Source organism: Homo sapiens, chromosome 6 (assembly GCF_000001405.40).
Source record: "Homo sapiens chromosome 6, GRCh38.p14 Primary Assembly".
Classification (NCBI taxonomy): domain Eukaryota; kingdom Metazoa; phylum Chordata; class Mammalia; order Primates; family Hominidae; genus Homo; species Homo sapiens.
Genome location: NC_000006.12, coordinates 19747236 through 19771985, shown reverse-complemented (window position 1 = coordinate 19771985; position 24750 = coordinate 19747236). Strand labels below are relative to the sequence as shown.

The 24750-nt window shown below is 40.3% G+C and overlaps 1 long non-coding RNA gene across 1 annotated transcript in view, besides 3 other annotated features; it reads left to right on the top strand.

Moving 5' to 3' along the window:
- LNC-LBCS (lncRNA bladder and prostate cancer suppressor, hnRNPK interacting) overlaps window positions 1-24750 on the top strand; it is a 75339-nt gene that overhangs the window by 32774 nt on the left and 17815 nt on the right. The window contains exon 3 of the long non-coding RNA NR_134651.1: window positions 22228-22338. This is a non-coding gene — a long non-coding RNA (lncRNA bladder and prostate cancer suppressor, hnRNPK interacting). The remainder of the gene's footprint in view (window positions 1-22227; window positions 22339-24750) is intronic.
- Window positions 6232-6843: an enhancer, noted in NCBI's record as "NANOG-H3K27ac-H3K4me1 hESC enhancer chr6:19765374-19765985 (GRCh37/hg19 assembly coordinates)". NCBI's record gives its function as "activates a minimal SCP1, AML or CMV promoter by ChIP-STARR-seq in naive H9 embryonic stem cells {active_cell/tissue: H9 hESC(naive)}" and the evidence as "EXISTENCE:reporter gene assay evidence [ECO:0000049][PMID:30033119]".
- Window positions 6844-7456: an enhancer, noted in NCBI's record as "H3K27ac-H3K4me1 hESC enhancer chr6:19764761-19765373 (GRCh37/hg19 assembly coordinates)". NCBI's record gives its function as "activates a minimal SCP1, AML or CMV promoter by ChIP-STARR-seq in naive H9 embryonic stem cells {active_cell/tissue: H9 hESC(naive)}" and the evidence as "EXISTENCE:reporter gene assay evidence [ECO:0000049][PMID:30033119]".
- Window positions 21435-22634: an enhancer, noted in NCBI's record as "CDK7 strongly-dependent group 2 enhancer chr6:19749583-19750782 (GRCh37/hg19 assembly coordinates)". NCBI's record gives its function as "activates an origin of replication core promoter dependent on BRD2, BRD4, P300/CBP, MED14 and CDK7 cofactors, with strong dependence on CDK7, by STARR-seq in HCT116 cells {active_cell/tissue: HCT116}" and the evidence as "EXISTENCE:reporter gene assay evidence [ECO:0000049][PMID:35650434]".

The following is a 24750-nucleotide window of genomic DNA, read 5'->3' as shown; positions in this document are numbered from 1 at the left end:
TGCTGACTGGTTAGGTTGGTGGTTGCTGAAGGTTGAGGTGGCTGTGGCAATTTGTTAAGGCAACACTGAAGGTTGCCACATTGGTTGACACTTCCTTTCACGAACGATTTCTCTGTAGCATTCAATGCTGTCTGATAGCATTTTACTCACATAGAACTTCTTTCAAAATTGGTGTCAATCCTCTCAAACCCCGGCACTGCTTAATCAACTAGGTTTATTTAATATTTTAAATTCCTCTTTGTCATTCAACATTGTTCATAGCACCTTCATCAGGAAAAGATTCCATCTCCAGAGACTGCTTTCTTTGTTCATCCATAAGAAGCAACTTCTTATGCGTTCAAGTTTTATTGTGAGATTACAGCAATTGTCACATCTTCAGACTCCACTTCTTTTTTTTTTTTTTGAAACGGAGTCTCGCTCTGTCGCCCAGGCTGGAGTACAGTGGCACCATTTCGGCTCACTGCAAGCTCCGCCTCCTGGGTTCATGCCCTTCTCCTGCCTCAGCCTCCACGCCCCCGCCACCACGCCTGGCTAATTTTTTTTTTTTGTATTTTTTGTAGAGATGGGGTATCACCGTGTTAGCCAGGATGGTCTCGATCTCCCGACCTTGTCATCCGCCCGCCTTGGTCTCCCAAAGTGCTGGGATTACAGGCGTGAGCTACCGCGCCCAGCCCAGACTCCACTTCTAACTCTAGTTCTCTTGTTATTTTTACCACATCTGTGATTCTTTCCTCCCCTGAAGCCTAGAACCCCTCAAAGTCACCCATTAGGTTTGGAATCAACTTCTTCCAAACTCCTGTTAATGGTGATATTTGACTTCCTTCCATTAATCATGATTCTTTTTTTTTTTTTTTTTTTTTTTTTTTTAGAGACAGGGTCTCACTCTGTTGCCCAGGTTGGAATGCAGTTGCATGATTATGGCTCACTGCAGCCAGCCTTGAAATCCCGGGCTCAGTCGATCCTCCCACCTCAGCCTTCCAAGTCACTGGGACTACAGGCACATGCCACCATACCCAGTTAGTTTTTTTTTCTTTTTTTTTTTTTTTTTTTTTTATTTTTTTTTTATTTTTTTTTTTTTTTATTATACTCTCAGTTTTAGGGTACATGTGCACATTGTGCAGGTTAGTTACATATGTATACATGTGCCATGCTGGTGCGCTGCACCCACTAATGTGTCATCTAGCATTAGGTATATCTCCCAATGCTATCCCTCCCCCCTCCCCCGACCCCACCACAGTCCCCAGAGTGTGATATTCCCCTTCCTGTGTCCATGTGATCTCATTGTTCAATTCCCACCTATGAGTGAGAATATGCGGTGTTTGGTTTTTTGTTCTTGCGATAGTTTACTGAGAATGATGGTTTCCAATTTCATCCATGTCCCTACAAAGGATATGAACTCATCATTTTTTATGGCTGCATAGTATTCCATGGTGTATATGTGCCACATTTTCTTAATCCAGACTATCATTGTTGGACATTTGGGTTGGTTCCAAGTCTTTGCTATTGTGAATAGTGCCGCAATAAACATACGTGTGCATGTGTCTTTATAGCAGCATGATTTATAGTCCTTTGGGTATATACCCAGTAATGGGATGGCTGGGTCAAATGGTATTTCTAGTTCTAGATCCCTGAGGAATCGCCACACTGACTTCCACAATGGTTGAACTAGTTTACAGTCCCACCAACAGTGTAAAAGTGTTCCTATTTCTCCACATCCTCTCCAGCACCTGTTGTTTCCTGACTTTTTAATGATTGCCATTCTAACTGGTGTGAGATGATATCTCATAGTGGTTTTGATTTGCATTTCTCTGATGGCCAGTGATGATGAGCATTTTTTCATGTGTTTTTTGGCTGCATAAATGTCTTCTTTTGAGAAGTGTCTGTTCATGTCCTTCGCCCACTTTTTGATGGGGTTGTTTGTTTTTTTCTTGTAAATTTGTTTGAGTTCATTGTAGATTCTGGATATTAGCCCTTTGTCAGATGAGTAGGTTGCAAAAATTTTCTCCCATGTTGTAGGTTGCCTGTTCACTCTGATGGTAGTTTCTTTTGCTGTGCAGAAGCTCTTTAGTTTAATTAGATCCCATTTGTCAATTTTGGTTTTTGTTGCCATTGCTTTTGGTGTTTTGGACATGAAGTCCTTGCCCACGCCTATGTCCTGAATGGTAATGCCTAGGTTTTCTTCTAGGGTTTTTATGGTTTTAGGTCTAACGTTTAAATCTTTAATCCATCTTGAATTGATTTTTGTATAAGGTGTAAGGAAGGGATCCAGTTTCAGCTTTCTACATATGGCTAGCCAGTTTTCCCAGCACCATTTATTAAATAGGGAATCCTTTCCCCATTGCTTGTTTTTCTCAGGTTTGTCAAAGATCAGATAGTTGTAGATATGCGGCATTATTTCTGAGGGCTCTGTTCTGTTCCATTGATCTATATCTCTGTTTTGGTACCAGTACCATGCTGTTTTGGTTACTGTAGCCTTGTAGTATAGTTTGAAGTCAGGTAGTGTGATGCCTCCAGCTTTGTTCTTTTGGTTTAGGATTGACTTGGCAATGCGGGCTCTTTTTTGGTTCCATATGAACTTTAAAGTAGTTTTTTCCAATTCTGTGAAGAAAGTCATTGGTAGCTTGATGGGGATGGCATTGAATCTGTAAATTACCTTGGGCAGTATGGCCATTTTCACGATATTGATTCTTCCTACCCATGAGCATGGAATGTTCTTCCATTTGTTTGTGTCCTCTTTTATTTCCTTGAGCAGTGGTTTGTAGTTCTCCTTGAAGAGGTCCTTCACATCCCTTGTAAGTTGGATTCCTAAGTATTTTATTCTCTTTGAAGCAATTGTGAATGGGAGTTCACCCATGATTTGGCTCTCTGTTTGTCTGTTGTTGGTGTATAAGAATGCTTGTGATTTTTGTACATTGATTTTGTATCCTGAGACTTTGCTGAAGTTGCTTATCAGCTTAAGGAGATTTTGGGCTGAGATGATGGGGTTTTCTAGATAAACAATCATGTCGTCTGCAAACAGGGACAATTTGACTTCCTCTTTTCCTAATTGAATACCCTTTATTTCCTTCTCCTGCCTGATTGCCCTGGCCAGAACTTCCAACACTATGTTGAATAGGAGCGGTGAGAGAGGGCATCCCTGTCTTGTGCCAGTTTTCAAAGGGAATGCTTCCAGTTTTTGCCCATTCAGTATGATATTGGCTGTGGGTTTGTCATAGATAGCTCTTATTATTTTGAAATACGTCCCATCAATACCTAATTTATTGAGAGTTTTTAGCATGAAGGGTTGTTGAATTTTGTCAAAGGCTTTTTCTGCATCTATTGAGATAATCATGTGGTTTTTGTCTTTGGCTCTGTTTATATGCTGGATTACATTTATTGATTTGCGTATATTGAACCAGCCTTGCATCCCAGGGATGAAGCCCACTTGATCATGGTGGATAAGCTTTTTGATGTGCTGCTGGATTCGGTTTGCCAGTATTTTATTGAGGATTTTTGCATCAATGTTCATCAAGGATATTGGTCTAAAATTCTCTTTTTTGGTTGTGTCTCTGCCCGGCTTTGGTATCAGAATGATGCTGGCCTCATAAAATGAGTTAGGGAGGATTCCCTCTTTTTCTATTGATTGGAATAGTTTCAGAAGGAATGGTACCAGTTCCTCCTTGTACCTCTGGTAGAATTCGGCTGTGAATCCATCTGGTCCTGGACTCTTTTTGGTTGGTAAACTATTGATTATTGCCACAATTTCAGAGCCTGTTATTGGTCTAGTCAGAGATTCAGCTTCTTCCTGGTTTAGTCTTGGGAGAGTGTATGTGTTGAGGAATGTATCCATTTCTTCTAGATTTTCTAGTTTATTTGCGTAGAGGTGTTTGTAGTATTCTCTGATGGTAGTTTGTATTTCTGTGGGATCGGTGGTGATATCCCCTTTATCATTTTTTATTGTGTCTATTTGATTCTTCTCTCTTTTTTTCTTTATTAGTCTTGCTAGCGGTCTATCAATTTTGTTGATCCTTTCAAAAAACCAGCTCCTGGATTCATTGATTTTTTGAAGGGTTTTTTGTGTCTCTATTTCCTTCAGTTCTGCTCTGATTTTAGTTATTTCTTGCCTTCTGCTAGCTTTTGAATGTGTTTGCTCTTGCTTTTCTAGTTCTTTTAATTGTGATGTTAGGGTGTCAATTTTGGATCTTTCCTGCTTTCTCTTGTAGGCATTTAGTGCTATAAATTTCCCTCTACACACTGCTTTGAATGCGTCCCAGAGATTCTGGTATGTGGTGTCTTTGTTCTCGTTGGTTTCAAAGAACATCTTTATTTCTGCCTTCATTTCGTTATGTACCCAGTAGTCATTCAGGAGCAGGTTGTTCAGTTTCCATGTAGTTGAGCGGCTTTGAGTGAGATTCTTAATCCTGAGTTCTAGTTTGATTGCACTGTGGTCTGAGAGATAGTTTGTTATAATTTCTGTTCTTTTACATTTGCTGAGGAGAGCTTTACTTCCAACTATGTGGTCAATTTTGGAATAGGTGTGGTGTGGTGCTGAAAAAAATGTATATTCTGTTGATTTGGGGTGGAGAGTTCTGTAGATGTCTATTAGGTCTGCTTGGTGCAGAGCTGAGTTCAATTCCTGGGTATCCTTGTTGACTTTCTGTCTCGTTGATCTGTCTAATGTTGACAGTGGGGTGTTAAAGTCTCCCATTATTAATGTGTGGGAGTCTAAGTCTCTTTGTAGGTCACTCAGGACTTGCTTTATGAATCTGGGTGCTCCTGTATTGGGTGCATAAATATTTAGGATAGTTAGCTCCTCTTGTTGAATTGATCCCTTTACCATTATGTAATGGCCTTCTTTGTCTCTTTTGATCTTTGTTGGTTTGAAGTCTGTTTTATCAGAGACTAGGATTGCAACCCCTGCCTTTTTTTGTTTTCCATTTGCTTGGTAGATCTTCCTCCATCCTTTTATTTTGAGCCTATGTGTGTCTCTGCACGTGAGATGGGTTTCCTGAATACAGCACACTGATGGGTCTTGACTCTTTATCCAACTTGCCAGTCTGTGTCTTTTAATTGCAGAATTTAGTCCATTTATATTTAAAGTTAATATTGTTATGTGTGAATTTGATCCTGTCATTATGATGTTAGCTGGTGATTTTGCTCATTAGTTGATGCAGTTTCTTCCTAGTCTCGATGGTCTTTACATTTTGGCATGATTTTGCAGCGGCTGGTACCAGTTGTTCCTTTCCATGTTTAGTGCTTCCTTCAGGAGCTCTTTTAGGGCAGGCCTGGTGGTGACAAAATCTCTCAGCATTTGCTTGTCTATAAAGTATTTTATTTCTCCTTCACTTATGAAGCTTAGTTTGGCTGGATATGAAATTCTGGGTTGAAAATTCTTTTCTTTAAGAATGTTGAATATTGGCCCCCACTCTCTTCTGGCTTGTAGGGTTTCTGCCGAGAGATCCGCTGTTAGTCTGATGGGCTTTCCTTTGAGGGTAACCCGACCTTTCTCTCTGGCTGCCCTTAACATTTTTTCCTTCATTTCAACTTTGGTGAATCTGACAATTATGTGTCTTGGAGTTGCTCTTCTCGAGGAGTATCTTTGTGGCGTTCTCTGTATTTCCTGAATCTGAACGTTGGCCTGCCTTGCTAGATTGGGGAAGTTCTCCTGGATAATATCCTGCAGAGTGTTTTCCAACTTGGTTCCATTCTCCACATCACTTTCAGGTACACCAATCAGACGTAGATTTGGTCTTTTCACATAGTCCTATATTTCTTGGAGGCTTTGCTCATTTCTTTTTATTCTTTTTTCTCTAAACTTCCCTTCTCGCTTCATTTCATTCATTTCATCTTCCATTGCTGATACCCTTTCTTCCAGTTGATCGCATCGGCTCCTGAGGCTTCTGCATTCTTCACGTAGTTCTCGAGCCTTGGTTTTCAGCTCCATCAGCTCCTTTAAGCACTTCTCTGTATTGGTTATTCTAGTTATACATTCTTCTAAATTTTTTTCAAAGTTTTCAACTTCTTTGCCTTTGGTTTGAATGTCCTCCCGTAGCTCAGAGTAATTTGATCGTCTGAAGCCTTCTTCTCTCAGCTCGTCAAAATCATTCTCCATCCAGCTTTGTTCTGTTGCTAGTGAGGAACTGCGTTCCTTTGGAGGAGGAGAGGTGCTCTGCGTTTTAGAGTTTCCAGTTTTTCTGTTCTGTTTTTTCCCCATCTTTGTGGTTTTATCTACTTTTGGTCTTTGATGATGGTGATGTACAGATGGGTTTTCGGTGTAGATGTCCTTTCTGGTTGTTAGTTTTCCTTCTAACAGACAGGACCCTCAGCTGCAGGTCTGTTGGAATACCCTGCCGTGTGAGGTGTCAGTGTGCCCCTGCTGGGGGGTGCCTCCCAGTTAGGCTGCTCGGGGGTCAGGGGTCAGGGACCCACTTGAGGAGGCAGTCTGCCCGTTCTCAGATCTCCAGCTGCGTGCTGGGAGAACCACTGCTCTCTTCAAAGCTGTCAGACAGGGACACTTAAGTCTGCAGAGGTTACTGCTGTCTTTTTGTTTGTCTGTGCCCTGCCCCCAGAGGTGGAGCCTACAGAGGCAGGCAGGCCTCCTTGAGCTGTGGTGGGCTCCACCCAGTTCGAGCTTCCCGGCTGCTTTGTTTACCTAAGCAAGCCTGGGCAATGGCGGGCGCCCCTCCCCCAGCCTCGTTGCCGCCTTGCAGTTTGATCTCAGACTGCTGTGCTAGCAATCAGCGAGATTCCGTGGGCGTAGGACCCTCTGAGCCAGGTGTGGGATATAGTCTCGTGGTGCGCCGTTTCTTAAGCCGGTCTGAAAAGCGCAATATTCGGGTGGGAGTGACCCGATTTTCCAGGTACGTCCGTCACCCCTTTCTTTGACTCGGAAAGGGAACTCCCTGACCCCTTGCGCTTCCCAGGTGAGGCAATGCCTCGCCCTGCTTCGGCTTGCGCACGGTGCGCACACACACTGACCTGCGCCCACTGTCTGGCACTCCCTATTGAGATGAACCCGGTACCTCAGATGGAAATGCAGAAATCACCCGTCTTCTGCGTCGCTCACGCTGGGAGCTGTAGACCGGAGCTGTTCCTATTCGGCCATCTTGGCTCCAGTTAGTTTTTTTTTCTCCTGGAGACAGGGTTTTGCCATGTTGCTCAGGCTGGTTTTAGTCTCAACTCCTGGGCTCAAGTTATCCTCCACCACAGCCTCCCAAAGTGCTGGGATTACAGGGGTGAGCCACTGTGCCCGGCCATGGTTGTTCTTAATGGCATCTAGAATGGTGATCCCTTTCCAGAAGGTTTTCCATGTAGTTTGCCTAGATCCATCAGGGGAATCACTGTCTATGGCTTTACAAGATGTATTTCTTACATAATAAGATTTGAAAGTCGAAATGACGCCTTGATACATGGGCTACAGGATGAATGCTGTATTAGCAGGCATGGAAACAATGTTCATCTCCTGTGCATCTCCCTCAGAGCTCTTGGGTAACCAGGTGCATTGTCAGTGAGTAGTAATATTTGAAAGGCTTTTTTTTTCCCAAATGAAAGATCTCAACAGTGGGCTTAAAATATTCAGTAAACCTCCCAGCACTTTGGGAGGCTGAAGTGGGCAGATCACGAGGTCAGGAGATCGAGACCATCCTGGCTAACACAGTGAAACCCCATCTCTACTAAAAATACAAAAAATTAGCCAGGTGTGGTGGCGGGCGCCTGTAGTCCCAGCTACTCGGGAGGCTGAGGCAGGAGAATGGCATGAACCCAGGAGGCGGAGCTTGCAGTGAGTCGAGATTGCGTCACTGCACTCCATCCTGGGCGACAGAGTGAGACTCTGTCTCAAAAAAATAAAAATAAAAATACAAATAAAAAATTAAAAATTAAATAAAATAATTAAATAAAATAACTTAAAAAATAAATAAATTAAAAATTAAAAATTCAATAAACCATGTTGTAAACAGATGTGCTGTCATCCAGGTTTTGTTGTTTTATTTATGAAGCAGAAGTAGAGTAGATTTAGCATAATTCTTAAGGGCCCTAGGATTTTTGGAATGGTAAATGAGCACTAGTTTCAACTTAATGACACCAGCTGCATTAGTCCCTAACAGAGAGTCAACCTGTCCTTTGAAGCTTTGAAACCAGGTACTGACTTCTTCTATCTAGCTATGAATGTCCTACATGGCATCCTCTTCCAATATAGGGCTGTTTCATGTACAATGAAAATCGGCTGTTCAGTGTAGCCACCTTCATCAATGATCTTAGCTAGATCTTCTGGATAACTTGCTGCAGATTCTATATCAGCACTTGCTGCTTCACCTTATCCTTTGATGTTCTAGAGATGGCTTCTTTCCTTAAACGTCATGAACCAACCTCAGATGGCTTCTTTCCTTAAACGTCATGAACCAACCTCTGCTAGCTTCAGGCTTTTCTTGTGCAACTTCCTCATCTCTCTCAGCCTTCATAGAATTAATGAGAGTTAGAGTCTTGCTCTGAATTAAGCTTTGACTTATGGGAATGTTGTGAGTGTTGTGGTTGGTTTGATCTTCTATCCAGACCACTTAAACTTTCTACATAGTAGCCATAAAACTGTTCTGTGTTCTTATCATTTGTGTGTTCACTGGAGTAGCACTTTTTAATATTATTTTTGAATTACTTTTCCTTTGCATTCACAACTTGGTTAATTGTTTGGTACTAAAGGCCTAGCTTTTAGCCCATCTTGGCTTTATATATGCCTTCCTCACTATGCCTAATCATTTCTAGTTTTTGATTTAAAGTGAAAGATGTGCAACTCTTACTTAATCACTTAGAGGCCATTGCAGGGTTTTTAATTGCCTAATTTTAATATTGTTGTGTCTCAGGAAATAGGGAGGCCCAAGGGAAGGAGAGACATGGCCAAATGGCTGGTTGGTGGAGCATTCAGAACACACAAAACCACACAACATTTGTGTATTAAATTTGCCATTTTATATGGATGCAATTTGTGCCACTCCCCAAAATTACAGTAGTAACATCAAAGATCACTGATCACAGATCACCATAACAGATATTACAATAATGTGAAAGTTTGAAATATTGTAAGAATTACCAAAATGTGACACAAAGACACAAACTGAGCACATGCTGTTGGAAAAATGCCAAGAGGCTTGCTCAAAGTGGGGTTGCCACAAACCTTCAGTTTGTAAAAAGAAAATACAATATCTGCTGGGTGCGGTGGCTTGTACCTGTAGTTTCACCTACTCTGGAGGCTGAGGTGTGAGGATTGCTTGAGCCCCGGAGTTTGGGGCTGCACTGAGCTGTGATCACACCACTACACTCCAGCCTGGACGTCTGAGTGAGACCCTGTCTCTAAAAAAAACACCAAAACAATAACAACAAAACTCCCGATATCTGTGAAGCACAATAAAGTAAGGTATACCCGTATGTCCCAGAGGTTCTTGTATACACATTGCAATGAATTTTGGGGGGATTAAGCCTACTTCTCAGCATCCCTCATTAAAATTAAAGTACAGAAAATCTATATGTAGCTCTACTTTTTAGCAAATCTCTGAATTGGTTCTTAGAATAGTCACAGGAAAATCAGAAGTGAGTAAACTTGGAGATTCTAGGCCTTCATTTCAGCCAGATAGAAAGAAGCCTATCAGATCTTTTCTCTTTTCCTGGTGGGAATCCATCCTTCCCATATAGCTTCACTACGTGTCCCCAGGAGTGGCCAAACAGCCTCCCTGTCTTCAAGATCAGTCCCACTTTAGAAAGGAAGGACTGCATTGATTTATATATAACAACTCTAAAGGCTATTGATCTCACTCTGATCTGGAACTCAGTTATGGCAATACATTCCTAGATAGCTTCCAGGACCCAAGTTTCTATTCTACTAATAATTCCTCCTACTGTAAGTTGTAAAGAGGTAGGTTCCAGTTTCTCTGTGATCTTGAAGTAGAACACCAACATAAAGAAAGGCAGGAATAAAACACAGCAGCAGAAAGAACACAGTAGTTCACCTGGGCTTTTCCTGGGCCATTATTCATGGCCGTCTTTGTATCCAGCATGATTTCAAGCCCAGGGGATGAATCCTGTTTCAGGTCCTGATTTCCAGTTGGCTTCCTCGTTTTGTAGTTCATCTAACCTGATAATCTAATGAAAAACAAAGCAAGTAGCAGAATCTGGCTTTCTGTCTAGTGCTCATTCTATTAAATTACATTGCATGGCCATCTGAACAAAAACCCATATGGGACTTCACTTTATTCTTCACTTATCTGCCGTTTATTTTTATTTTTCTGACTCTGTTGAACCTGATGATGCTGCAAAATGAAGTTTTGTTTACTTACTTTAGAAAAGAAGTTGTGATAATTGGGTGGTTACTGACAGTCTGTTCACTAGAGGAGACACTTCAGGCAGGAATGATTTATTTGAAGAGATTGATATCAGTTTAGGAAACAGTACCCTGAACCTCCCGATCATGATCCTAAATTGGCCATTACAGTATTGGGATTCACCAAATTACAGTTTTTACAAAGGCATTAAATAGGGAGTGGCAGGGGATGAGAGGAATCTTGCTTGGTGAGCCTTTACTCTCATTTAGAAAGGAAAATCTTTGTTAACTAGTACAATTCCTTTGGGTTTGTGTATGCAGAAAGCCCCAGCGAATATTCTCTTAAGCTCATTGTCCTAACCAGGATCCTATGGCAACATGATTGGTCACATGACCTACTTTAATTCTAAAGGAGGCTAGAAAGCCAGTATACTGATTTTTGACTTTGTAGTGAGAGTCAAGCAAGAGAAAGGAGGGTAAGAAATGGTTGTCATGTCTGCCACAAATAATCTTCTCATTTCTTTGTTCATTCACCTTCCTAGCTCTTAATCATTAGTTCTTCATATTTATTCCCTTATGCTGTTGGTTATATTTTTCTCTGTGTACATTTAGTTCCTTAGTATTTCTCCATTACTGATGGGATAAAGTTCAAAATCCAGATGAAAGTATCTGAGATCCTTTATGCTTGGCTTCTGCCCTTGTTTCCAGCCACCTCTATTTCCATTCCCTTAAAGACACTGGGATGCTACTATGAGGATACTGGTTTTTTGTTTGTTTGTTTTGTTTTGTTGTGTTTTTTGGCAAAGTCTTGCTCTGTCACCCAGGCTGGAGTGCAGTGGCATGATCTCAGCTCACTGCAACCTCCGCCTCCTGGGTTCAGTCAATTCTCATGCCTCAGCCTCCCGAGTGAGTAGTTGTGACTACAGCACTGGCTATCATCCCTGGCTAATTTTCTCTGTTGTTTTTCAAAAGTGGCAGAGTGTCTCAGGCCCATGTTGCCACGCAATGTAGTTAGCATTTAGTCATTAATCAAGATAATCTCAATCAATATATTAATAATATATTGATAATATATCCCAAGGCCATCCCACCGTTAGCACTGATTATGCCTCATCATAATGGTTTTCTTACGTGGTTGTCTTTTCCTACATTTGAAGATTTCTTGTCTAGTGGGGCCAACAGACATGGGAACAGTGCCTGGCCCAGGGCAAGCATTCAATATATGTGCAGTGGAGACTATGAGAGCCCCAAGGGAAAAAACCATCTTTTATTATTTTCTTGTTTTCCCAATAACAGCCCAACAGAGTTAATAACCCTAGTCAATTTGTTAAAAAAAATTAATTTGATTCATTGATGAACCAAATGAGTGAAAGACATTTTTTAAACCTTATAACATCAATGGAGATTTATACTGTTGTTAGCCTATCGCTTTGGTCATTATAGAAGATCCTGGCTGCCCAATGTACCATAGTGGCCATAGCATCTCTTTTCCTATTCTCTTCTCCCAAGAATGTGTCTTTAAGTGTGTTTGTGTGACTTCCTTATCTTTATTTTTCTTTCTTTACTTCTAACTTCCCCACCATCAATAATGGTAATTTCATATTCCTCATGGCTTGTCTGCTCATGTCCGATTCACACTATCATCAGGTAGAAGACACTTCTCTGCCTCAGCGGAGTAGGAATAGTCTTTGTATCCAAAAGCTAGGATAATCTAAATATTCTAGCACAAAAACCATTTAATATTCACAGCACTGACCTCTGGCAAACGGATTTTGTGCGCAGTGCCATGAAGCTTGATTAATCGAGGAATGAATCATTTTTTCCCCACAGAAAATAATCTGAAGACTATTTAGTTTTCTTATAGATTTTTCATTCTATTAAAAATGAAAATACTGAGTTCACATTGCTTAATACATACTAATATAGATCTCAGAAAATTCTCTGGTTTGTTTTATACCTTCCCACAGGGTGTGAGTATCCCCAGGGTATCTATAGGAGTTGTCAGGGAGACAGACTATCATTAGAACAGTAGTGAGTCAGCCGGCTTGCTTCATAATAGGTAAAAGAATATCTCCAGTATAAGAGGACCACCTAAATAATGGAAGAGATAAAAGTAAAATGGTGTATCTTTAGATACATATTTATTTTTTATATGCATACATGTTTATGTCAGAGCTACTGATGACTCTTAGAAGTACAAGCCCATGAAATTTGGATTTCTTCGGCAGGACCCTATTGGACAGTAACAACAACAGAAAATCTCTTCTGCCTGTTTAATTTACTTGGAGGCATTTGCAGAGGAAAATTGGGAAACGGGTGAAGTTTTACTATTATTCTTTCAGTAAACACTTATTTGGAGGTGACTGGGAAAAACCACATCCTTTGGGAGTTAGTCAGATGTGGGATGGAAGCCATATACTGGTTGTGTGACTTTGGGGAAGCTGCTTAGTCATTTTAAACTTTGGTGTCTACATCTGTAAAAGACAGGTAATGTTCCTTATTGCAAGGGTTGCATGGATAGGAGTACTCAGTGGTAAGTACTTAATAAATGGTGGCCATTACCATTACTGTTATTACTACTGTTACTACCTCGCACATGCCTGGGGAACTGCGTAAGACTGGGCACAATCCTTGCTCACAAGGAGCTTTCACTTTACTTGGGGTGGAGGACCATAAACAACTAATTATATCATAGGACAGCATAATTTTAGGGGAATAAAAAGGGTATAAACAAAACATTATGGGATGAGAGAATGGGTAAATTGGGACTACATGGAGACAACAGAGAAAGCTTCACGAGGATGAGGAATCTGTGCTGAGCCTCAGAAATGAGCAGGATCTTCACGGAGAAAGGGGAAAGGGACTGATTTTGTTAACACCCAAACTGCTCTTCTCTTTAAGCCCATTTGCTTACAGTTGTTTCTACCTTATTCTTCCTCCTTTCTACAATTAGTAGCCTCCTCAGGTAAGAATAGGCTACTATTGTCTGTAGGGGAAGTATTCTCCGTTGTTATATTATGTGTAACTGCTGTGTGGAAGGCATATGGAAGCCTGTGTGGTCATAAGGAACTGTTGTGTGGTGGTCTGTGTGTAAAGGTCAGGGATCTACTGGATTTGAGTGGGTATCAGTCACCTTGGAAAGAGTGTCTGAGGCTGGACAGCCAAAACCCAGAGAGACAAATCCTGGTGGGCGGCAGGGTGTTTCTTTTGATCTGACCCATGAGCTTAGTCAGGTGTCAGAGAGGTGGTTCCCTTTGGAAGGTGTCAGCAGCTTCCCTACAGAGATAGATTGGTTATGGGGAGTTACTGGGGAACCTAAGCAACTTAACGGAGAGGCTGTGGGGGTCCTTTGGTGCCCTCAAGTGAGCAAGCCCTTGATGTGAGCCAGGTGTGACCTTACTCTGTGAGGTCATGCACACCTGGGTTTGGATTCCAGCTCTGTCATTTACCAATGATTGATTCTGGGCAAGTTCCTAAATCTCTGAGTCTTGTACCACTTACAAAGCATGAATAATGAAACCTTCCCTATCTGATTGATGTGGGGACAAAATGAAATAGCTCCCAGACATATAAAGCCCCTAGATACAGAGTCATAGCATGTGACTTCCCTTTCTTTCTTTCCTTTTCTTGTTTTCTCTATTTCCCCTGCTCCTGTCAGCGTTGTATTTTAATACAGAATAAAGACCTGGGTGTTCCAGTCAGCATCTGCTATGTTAGAGGCACTAAGAAAAGAAGTTTTAGCCATACATGACTCAGAATATTAATGGAAGAGCATGGTATTCCTGAGGGTTAGCATGGGGGCTGCCACAGTAACCACAGGGAGAGAACCCAAAGGGGTAAAACTGGTGAGGAGGCTGGGTGTGATGGCTCATGCCTGTAATCCTAGCACTTTGGGAGGCCAGAGCGGGTGGATCACTTGAGATCAGGAGTTCGAAACCAGCCTGGCCAACATGGTGAAACCCTGTCTCTACTAAAAATGCAAAAAAATTAGCTGGGCGTGGTGACAGGAGACTGTAATCCCAGCTTCCTGGGAAGCTAAGGCAGGAGAATTGCTCAAACTCAGGAGGAAGAGGTTGCAGTGAGCCGAGATTGCACCACTGCACTCCAGCCTGGGAGACAGAGTGAGACTCTGTCTCAAAAGACAAAACAAAACAATACAAAAACAAAGCACAACCAAACAAAACAAAAAACTGGCAAGCAGTGGAACAGGAAAGAGTCGATGTCCCACGAAGCCAACCTTCCTCAGTAGTAGATTCTCCTTCCAGTGCTAAATTTTAACGGCTTTGAATTTTACTAAGAGAGGAGGTACCCCTTCTAAGGATATCCATACCTTAATGTAAAATTAAGTAAATGTATAGCTTCTTCTAGAGCCATTTTTGAAATGAAAAAATTTGCCTCACATGAAAGGAATTTTAAGAATTCTTAGGCAGTCAGGGAAGATTTTGTGGGGGAGGACAAGCCTGGAGGACAGGGAAATTTACTCAAGGTCACTGTACTCAGGAATTAAACCTTTACATAAGTGGTTTTATCGTAGTGGGGCAGAAGCCCAGAAATTCCAGTTTTTAACCTGTTCAGCCTCATTTGATGAGCACTGGTGAATTAATACACTACTGCATTTCTCTGGCTTGGCTAATTTGGGTGGTTTTTTTTGTTAGTTTTTTTTGTGTGTGTGGCAAAATCTCGCTCTGTTGCCTAGGCTGGAGTGCAATGGTGTGATCTTGGCTCACTGCAGCCTCTGCCTCCCAGGTTCAAGCGATTCTCCTGCCTCAGCCTCCCGAGTAACTGGGATTACAGGCACCCACCACCACGCCTGGCTAATTTTTGTATTTTTAGTAGAGACGGGGTTTCACCATGTTGCCCAGGCTGGTCTCGATACCTGACCTCAGGTGATCCGGCCCTCCTCAGCCTCCCAAAGTGCCGGGATTACAGGCATGAGCCACTGTGCCCAGCCAATTTGACTGTATTCTTATAGCGAGGCTAACTTTTATCTATCAGTATTTAATTCTTCTTTAATGGTGCCTGCAAAGAAAAAGAAAAATAGAACTGAGGCAAAAAGGCTATATGGTACAAATATATGAGGATAGAGTGGATTTGGTCTAAATGATCCAGAGCATCGTCTCAATCCTCAGTCTTCTTTTCTTCTGAACATGTTTGAGTCTAGTGGAGAAAAGCTATTTTCCTAATAAGAAACTAGAATTGAGATTAAGCTAATCCTACTTTTGAACTTGCAGTGTGAAAATCATGGTTCCTTGGGAAGAAAGTCTTTGTTAAAATTCAAATTCTATTTGAGACATGCATATTTCACAGTTCCAGGTGGAATACTATCCATGTTTATGTGGCCATCTCACATGCAATATGCAAGTAAACTTTCTTAAGTAACTGGATAAAGGTGGCCTGCAAATGTTTGTGAGTGAAGCACTTCTAATTCTGTAAATTGTACTAATGGATATGTGAAAAACCTAATGGGTTAGAGTTAGGAGGCCAACTGATTTGCAATTATACATGCATTACTCTCAATGTGAAAGTAATCAAGAGTGCTGAGTATACTTGGGTCTTAATGCTGTGATTCTCACTGATGACGCTGTGAACCAGATAAAAGCATGGTATTGAGAGAGGCATGACAAGAGACTAAAACATAGAAACATTGTTGCTTTTTAATATAAATAGTTCTGTTCACAGGTCGTTGTCTTCACAAAGCATTACTCAAATCAACTTAATAATAGTTTTAGTAGAATTCTAGTCATTCAGCTTTAACATCAAGGATATTTGTCTCAAATGGAGTGTCTTGAGTTGAAATTAAGGTAAGTTTTAAAAACCAGAGACTTTTCTGAGTTAGCTATCATGGTTTTTAAAGTCAATGTCTAAAAGGTGGTCATTGCACATTATATTCCAGGTTGGCTGAACTAAATGTGGTACCCAAGGGAAGCATCACCTCTCTGTTCTGTACCATGCTAATCATGCTGCAACATGATGTGCTGAACGTTTTTAACGTTCTCTTTTGAGTGTTTTTGCCTTCTTTTCCATTTACACACAGGTAGAAATTGTCTAAATCTTTCCCATTTTGTTATTCATTATATTTTATTAAGTCTACTGGAAATAAATATATGCCGTTATTATCCCAACAAGAAGAAAATCCTGTTCCACATCTTGACAGTTGCTTCAATATCTAATGCAGAAGGAGATGGAAGCTGAGCAAACGCTTAACCTCATGTTCTGAGCAATGTGTATATGTGTATAATCTGATCCTTGTTTCACAACCAAACATAAAAATAAATCACCTTTAAGAAAGAAAAAAATGACATATTGTGGTCAGTGCTAGGAATATGGAACTTCATCTGTTTCCACTGATTGCATTGTTTAAGCTGTCTGTAAGAAATCTCTGCCCCCAGGAAATCCTCAAAGCATAGAGGAAATTGTACTAGAAAAATCCATTACATTGACCCCTGCTGGGGGGTTGACTCAAGTGGCAAAAAATGATGGTAAAATATTAAGTGTCTTAATATTATGCTCCATACAGTCACTGCCTCTTATTAGATAACAAGGCAAATTTTCAAATACATCGCTCTGAATTTCTAGAAGCCTGTTTAGGATGGACACAAGGTTGAAGACAAACCCAGTGTGTGCAATCAAGGAGGATGGAAACATAAGAAGGAAATGAATGAATGACCTGGACTGAGAGCTCTTTGTAGTCAGGAAAGAGAAGCATTACGAGAGTTGACTACATGCTAGCTACTGTGTCAAACTCTTTGCATTCATTTCATAGAATCTTCACTTTAACCAGGGCGCCAAGGCAAGGAGAGGCTAAACAACTTGCCTGAGGTCACATAGCTGGTAAGAAATAGAGTTGCCCAATCTGCTGAGTCTGTTACTGTGACCAAACAGGCTATCCATAGTTTTGTGATGGCATTTATTTAACTGATTTTATGCAATACCTAAGAGTAACCACAACAGGCAGACAAATGTTTAGGTAATATTCTCTGATAGCAACAAAAAAGTCAATGAAGTTTTCTACTTATTATATCTGCTGAAATGTGGGCATTGAGTATCAAGGTTTACCTGCCAAAGATGTCACTAAGCATGTAATAGGAAAACTTCCGCAGTTCAGCAAAGCAGCAAGTGAAAATGGTCAAATTAGTAAAAGTGGTTCATTTCAGATGTATTATGCTGGAAAGTCAAAAGTGCCAGAATATCCTTAATGGACTCCACCAGTTTGAATATTTCAATAACATCTGCAGGTCACTATTGTATTTCAAATTTTATTTATTTTCAAGTAGTTCATGCTATAGCAATCAAAATACCCTTATTAATTCCAGGTTAGTTTACCACTAATTTGCATTATTTTTCCTTATTCTATTTGATTTTTCCTAATTAAGAATACTAATAGTTTATAGGTAGCTTTTCATATTTACTCCATTGCGTCGTTTAATATGATGTTATAGTTTCAGCTAGATCCTCGTCTATGTCTACCAGGTAAAACAAACAAAATCAAAAGAGGAAAAATATGCCTGGCTATGTGATTATTTTCATTAGCAGTGAATCTGTCTGTTTCTGTGTGATTGAGATGCAATCCGTCCCTGCTGCACCTCTCATTTACTCCCAGGAAACAGTCCCAGTTGTCTAAAAAGTCAACACCTTCTGACAGGCACCATCTGGCCAGCCGTTCATTAACTCCCCAATGCTGCTCATGAATTTGCCTCTCTACGCGTGACCAGTGACACCGTTGAGAGCTAATGTGGCTTAAAGGAATATTGTTTCCCTGTTTGGATCACCCAGGCATCACCCAGCATGAGTCCTATGGGCAACATCCTACCTGGGATGTAAGTTTGTTATAAGATTAAATGTAATACTTGATAACATTTTGGAAATTTGAAGCTGAGGGCTGTAAAGAGCAAAAAAATAAATAGGTCATAAATTTTGAAAGTTTTTTTGTTTGGTTTGAAGATAGAAGACACTTCAGAAAATTCTTTTGTGGGAGTAAATTTTTTGAGGAGTGACTAACAAGGGAGTGATGAGATAGATTCATTTATTGTGTTGCATCTGAAAATCCTTCTGCTTTCTTGCTATATGATTTACCTTTATTTTCCAGTTTCTTTTGCTTTTAATCCTATACTCAGAGGTCACATAGTCTAGCAGGAGAGATAATGTGAAGATAATGCAAGAGTTTGAGGAAAATCTTCTGCTATTTTTCTTTATGTAACCCTAGTCTACCACTTCTGAATATTTCTTAATTTTGGTTTTATCATTTGACAATGTAAAAATGCCTCAAACCTGCTCTACCAGTTACACCTGGTTTCTAAAAGGCGCCATTTCTAGGCATATCAAATAAGGTAATGAATGTGAAAAAAGCTTTGTAAAACATAGCTGCTGGCTCACTGGGTATCTGTTTTGGCTTATACAATATCACAGATGTAGAGATTCCAAAATAAAAGGTACTAAACTCGCTCTCAAGGAGCTTACAATCCAGCGGAGAGATGGACACAAAAGCAAACAAACAAATCATGTGATGCAACATTAGGATTCCTAAAATCAAGGTCTAAAGAGCAGAGATAATGCTGGAGGAGCCCTACAAAGGAGGCTGGGACATTTTGGGCAGAGGAAATGTGGAAAAAAGAGAGAGGTGAGAGACAGTATGGTACTTTTGAAACCCTTAAGTAGTCAAAACGGGATAAAAATGTTGGTAGAAGAAATGGTGAGACCTGACACATAAGAAGCATCTGGTTTGCGAACAGCTTTGTTTGCTGTGTAAAGCTGTTGAATTGTACCCTGTGGGCAATGGGAGGGTGTTGCAGAGTTTTGAACAGAATGAGATGATTGGAAATGCCTTGAAAGAAGGGAAGGTTGAAGGAATGATGAGAGGGGCCTAAGCCCAGGTGTCAGAGGCACAGTAAGGAGTCATTAGCAGTAGTACCTGTGAGAGATGAGGAACTAGAATAGTGACAGGGAAGGTCAAGAGGAGAGGAAGCATCAGAGAAATTGAGTGTGGAATAGCAAGGCTTGTGGGCTGCAGAATTAAATTAATCCAAAGATCCTTTATCAGATAAATGTTCCATTTTCTCTGAGGCCTGAGTTTTTCAGGTCCATTTTTTTTTCTTCCTTCTAGTATTCTTAGAGGGGAGATTTTCTTACTTGTTCTGTAAAAGTTATTTGACCCATGTGTGCATCTTGGAAAGATTCTTTTGACATTCTCTGATGCCAAGAACTTTGCCAATAACATTTCTAGAGTAATTTCTTTTCCAAACTCTGAGCTCTATGACAGCAGGAATCAGACCTGTCCTGCCCCCTGGTATATTCCCAGCACAGTATCTGCAATATAATAGATCCTTAATAACTATTTGTTGAATGCCTTGATGATAAACTCTGCAGTACTTTGCAAACAAGATGCCCTGAGAAGTCAGAAGAATAGATATGTCTTTATAATAAAGTTTAAAAGTTGCCTCATTGTAAGCAGGCTTAATAACGGTAATATTAATAATAACAAAACATTTGTTCAATCCTTTGATAATTTTCACACACTATGATAAATGTACTTTGTGTTCTTCATCTAATTTAACCCTTACAGCAACCCTTTGTGGGCACTGCTTTATTTCAATTTTGTAGATGGGGAAAATGAACCTTAGGGGTTACTCATGAAGTGGGTGGCAAAGCCATAGTTTTAATCCTGAGTTTCTTAGGGGCAAAACTCCAGACTTTAAACCACTATGCCTAATTTAATGACCTCTTAAACAATGTGAATTCTGTCAAAAAATGACAATTAAAATAGGTTTCATCCATTCTGTTTTCCCTACTCTTCGATGTCTTTCATCCCGGGATTGTTCTGTGTTGTTTCTTAATACATATGCTTACATTTTATAGGCACAGATGCTATCTTCCCTCCCCTTTTCTGATTTCTCCTCTCCTCCCACTCTAAATAATGACATACAGTCATGGTGTGGACATTAATGTGAACCGTGGTTAGATTATGGCTCTACATCCAGTGGAGTGCTGGTCTTACGCATTTCCTCACTCCAGTCTGTATCTCGGGTGGAGTCTGAGGCTCCATATCCACTTCCTACTCCATCTCTCTAGCTCCACACCTGGAATGGCACCTCCACCATTCCTACAGCTTGGTGGCCAAATGTGTGAGTGTGAGTAGCATTTATGGGTAAGTCAATTTGCAATAGGTACTAGTAGTGAGAGCAACAGGCATGTAAGAGAGGCTCATGGATGGTAGAGTTTGGATATTATTTATCTTCCCTACTGGGTCACCTAGTCCACTGCCTGGCACCCTGAGGCACTTGATAAACATTTGCTGATTGAATTAAGTATGTATGTATGTGAGCCATCTGACACAAAAACCCACTGTCTCCTTTATTTTCTGTGCAATGGACTGAGCTCTATTTTTTAAATACGTATTTTTAACACAGTATTGAGTATCAGTACATTCAACACAGACTCAAAAGAATCTTTTCCTTTATCCTTTTGTGATTTTTCTCCTTTCTTGTGAATGTATTCATAGCTGGGTACGATTACAAGAAAAACGATTACCTATAGTAGTGTGGATATGAATGTTTGCTTGCCTTTTTGGTCTCAGATGAAGAGCTGTACATATCATCACAAACTATCTTTTTCCTTAAGTATGTCTCTCTTTTAAAGGCTAATATTGCAATATATATTACTTTAATTGCAGATTTTGTAATATGCTCCATGTTTTACAAATACTGTGGCTAGTCTTAAAGAAAAACTTTGTACAATAACTTGCACTCTGAATTCAAGAGTTTCTCTTATTTGTGATATCAATTCCCTTTGTGCCTTGGACTTTTTTTTTTTTTTTTTTTTCCATTTCACCTCCATTGAAAACATCTGCTAAGGACTTATTTAAACAGCTAGTTAATGCTTTATAAAGCTCAGAGGCGCGCCCATCTGTTCCAGGAGCATTCTCTTTTCTCAAGAGCTATATCATATTTTCTACCTGTCTGACAGCTGGTTTTGCCTCAAAACTCTTAATTTCTCTTTATATCAGTAGCATGACACCTTACTTTAAAGTTTATAACTGATTTTTCTTCATCTTGCTTCACTCTGAGCAAACCTAAAAGCAAGGGAGTTATTTCCTTCCTTTTTTCTTAGTCTTACTTATATCTTCCAATTTTGTTTTTGTTTTTAGAGCCAGAATGCCTTTCCTTTGAATCTGCATAATCAAACAGAAGTCAGGATGTAGTTCTGATGGATTTCATCTCCAGCATTGTGGTCCTTGGGCCCCTCCGCATTCCACCCTGGTGTACAGGACCCAATGGCAAGCCGCTTTAGCTCCTATCTGGTCCATGGGGATAGGTTACATACCCTTTGCTAGAGAGTGAAGATGAATCCCAATGTCATTTGGATCCTGCTTTCATGGGATGATTCAGCTTTCTCAGGCTGAGTCAGGAACCAGTCCTCTGTATCCTCCAACTGCCCATTTCTAGATCTTCAAATGGTCCAGTCTAGGCTCGAGGTGACAGAGGATGCTCTCTCTTCCACCCCACCCCTTTCTGAATGGGCAGACTCAAGGCATAGCAACTGTCGTCTGCAGAAGAATCTTTTTACTATTGCTTCTTGTCTCCTCTATGTCCATTCTTTTGTATTTTCAAAGTAAGTGAGAGGCTTCAGGAGTTACGGAACAAACCCTTTTGTAACTCTGCATTTAAGGATCTGTTTCATATTTTTTATGATATCTGTTAATATATTGGCACCTTAATCGAGAGCAAGATACGATGAGGCCTAATTTAACATCCGGTTACACTTTCCTCATTGCGTAATGTGGCTATATCGACAGCAATTCAGATGTAGTAATTTGTGTTTTACCCTTATTATAGTAAATCAGATGGCATCTTGCAGCTATTTACTCTTTACATACATGAAGATTAACTCACCCCAGGGGTTATTTTTTTCCGATGTAAGAATCTTAATTTCCTTAACTTTTCCCACAGGTGTCACATGCCATTCTTCTGATTTTCATGAATATCCTCTAAAAGGCAGCTAAGCACTCGCTGTCTTCTTCCTTTTGCCTCATCAAGCACGGGGGACGCTGGAAGGAAGAGGTACCTCATACATTTTACACTGACTTAAATCTTAGAGAAGTTTATCTTGCGTTGAAACTGGGGATTTGAAAAGAGGCTTGCTTACCTGACTTAGGTTTGTCTGAAAACGCTAGTTATGTCCCTTGTGTCTCAAAAACCAACCAACGTTTTCCAGTTGGTCCTACCGAAGAAAATACTGTCTGTTCCAGTGAGTCAAATACAAGACCATCTGTGCCAGTCCGTTAAAAAAAAAATAATCCAATTGCTGTTAATAGATGACCGTTTCGAAGGGCAAGTCCAAAGGATAAAAAAAAAGGTGTGTAGTTATTTTGTATTGATGTAGGCATGGCTATTTTTGTTTATCACAAGGAGGAAAAGACTACTCCCTGTACCATTCTGTATGTATGTATGTACACAGTGGAAGCCATATTTCTCATACATCAGTGTGCCAAGAAAGCTAGTCAACAAGCAAGGGCTAAGAACAGAACTGGGAGGTTATCCTGACACTCTCCCTATACTTGGGAGATTCTTGTTGAGTGGATTGGGAATTTTAAAGTTGTTCCTGCTTCTGCTGATCCATGCAATTTTAGGCAGGTGTTTCTCTGTGGTCCAGGTATTTCAGCTGTGAAGTGAGTGGTAACAACAGGATTATTGGATAGTTTGTTAATGAAATGGAGTCATTGCTAAGCAAGATATATGCAGGAAATACCTGCAAGTAAGCTTAAAAGCTGGAAGTGAAGCAAGTCTGTTTTTTTTCTTTAAGGGGAGGTCATAAATGGCCGTCTTCAGGGAGTGTTGTCAAGAAGGGGCTGCAAGCCATCTGAAGCTCTAGGGCATCTGCAAAGTTTTTCTCTCCCTTTCACAAATTCCTTTGAAGAAGCTTTGTGGCAGTGCCAAGGGCATTTACTTTCCTGCAGAGCAGATGGGGGAAGACAAGAGCAGAATGAACTTTCTCATGTTTTCCAGTGAGAGTCAAGTATTTCCATCCTCTTCCTTGCACTTGAAGTCATCATTTCTCATAAAAGATTTTTATAATACCAAAGGCGAGGCACAAAACCAATAATCCTGGTGCATCAAGAATATGTATTACATGACTACTCCCCTAACTATGAGAATCATTAAGGCTTTTCCGATGAGATAATGTGGATAGTCTCCTGTCAGTGTAACGACTTTGCCGCATCTTCTTTATCTAGCCACATCCCCAGTTTCAGAGTTTAGGGAAACCCACCTTCTATTCTCAGCTCCACTATCCAGAGTGATCACCTGGATAGGTGATCACTTCTAACACCTTCTTACATTCTAACATGGACCATACTCTCATCATCAATTACTTGGCACTCAATCCTGTGCCGGTTTGTGTTAGGTTTGCTAGTTTTCTTACCATTTTACATTGTATTGAATATGCACTGTACCTTTATGACACTTCTATAGAGATTTATTCTTCTGGTTAAACTGAAGGTCTGTTATCTATGGTGATTTAGTCCTGTACTTGACTCTAAACCTTGGACCAGTCACACATACCATTGAGGTTCTTGAGTTGTTTCTGTAGCATCCCCTGACAATCATTATCATTTATATTAAAAAGCAAAACATGATTGCTGAAAAGGAGGACCTGGTATGCACCAAGCATACCAGTGCTGAAGACGCACTTACTGGAACCCTATTTGAACATGGGTCATGAATGGACTGCAATATGGCACCTTGATAGCCATGGTTTGATGACTTGACATAACTGCAAACAGCAACATTAAAAAGGACACCTGGAGTACACCTTAAAATAACAAAATATAAAACTGTTGAATGTTCAAAATGAACAAAGACATTCTTGTTGTGAAATATCCAATTAGAAACCGTGAAGATATGTCTAAAAACTAGGTCAGTGGGGCATGGTGTCTCATGCTTGTAATCTCAGCACTTTAAGAGGGTGAGGTGGGAGGATTGCATGAAGTCAAGAGTTGGAGACCAGCCTGGGCAACAGTGAGACCCAATCTCTACAAAAATAAAAATAAAAATATATTAACTGAGCATGGTGGCATGCACTTGTAGTCTCAGCTACTTGGGAGGCTAAAGGAGGAGGATCAGTTGAGCCCAGGAATTCAAGGTTTCAATAAGCTATGATCACCCCACTGCACTCCAGCCTGGGTGACAGAGTGAGACCCTGTCTTTAAAAAAATAAAAGAGATCCAAAAAAATTCCAGAATAAACCACTTCCACTTGTTCAAATTGAAACAAATTTATTTGTGCACAATGTGTAAATAAAAGCCAGTTATACATTATCACTTAATACCACATATATATGCAAAGTCATTAGTATAATAAAAAAATTGTGTGCTTATATAACACCTATTATCCATTGTCCTCTGAGGATAAGTCATTAGTGTAATAAAAAAAATTGTGTGCTTATATAGCACCTATTATCCATTGTCTGAGGAT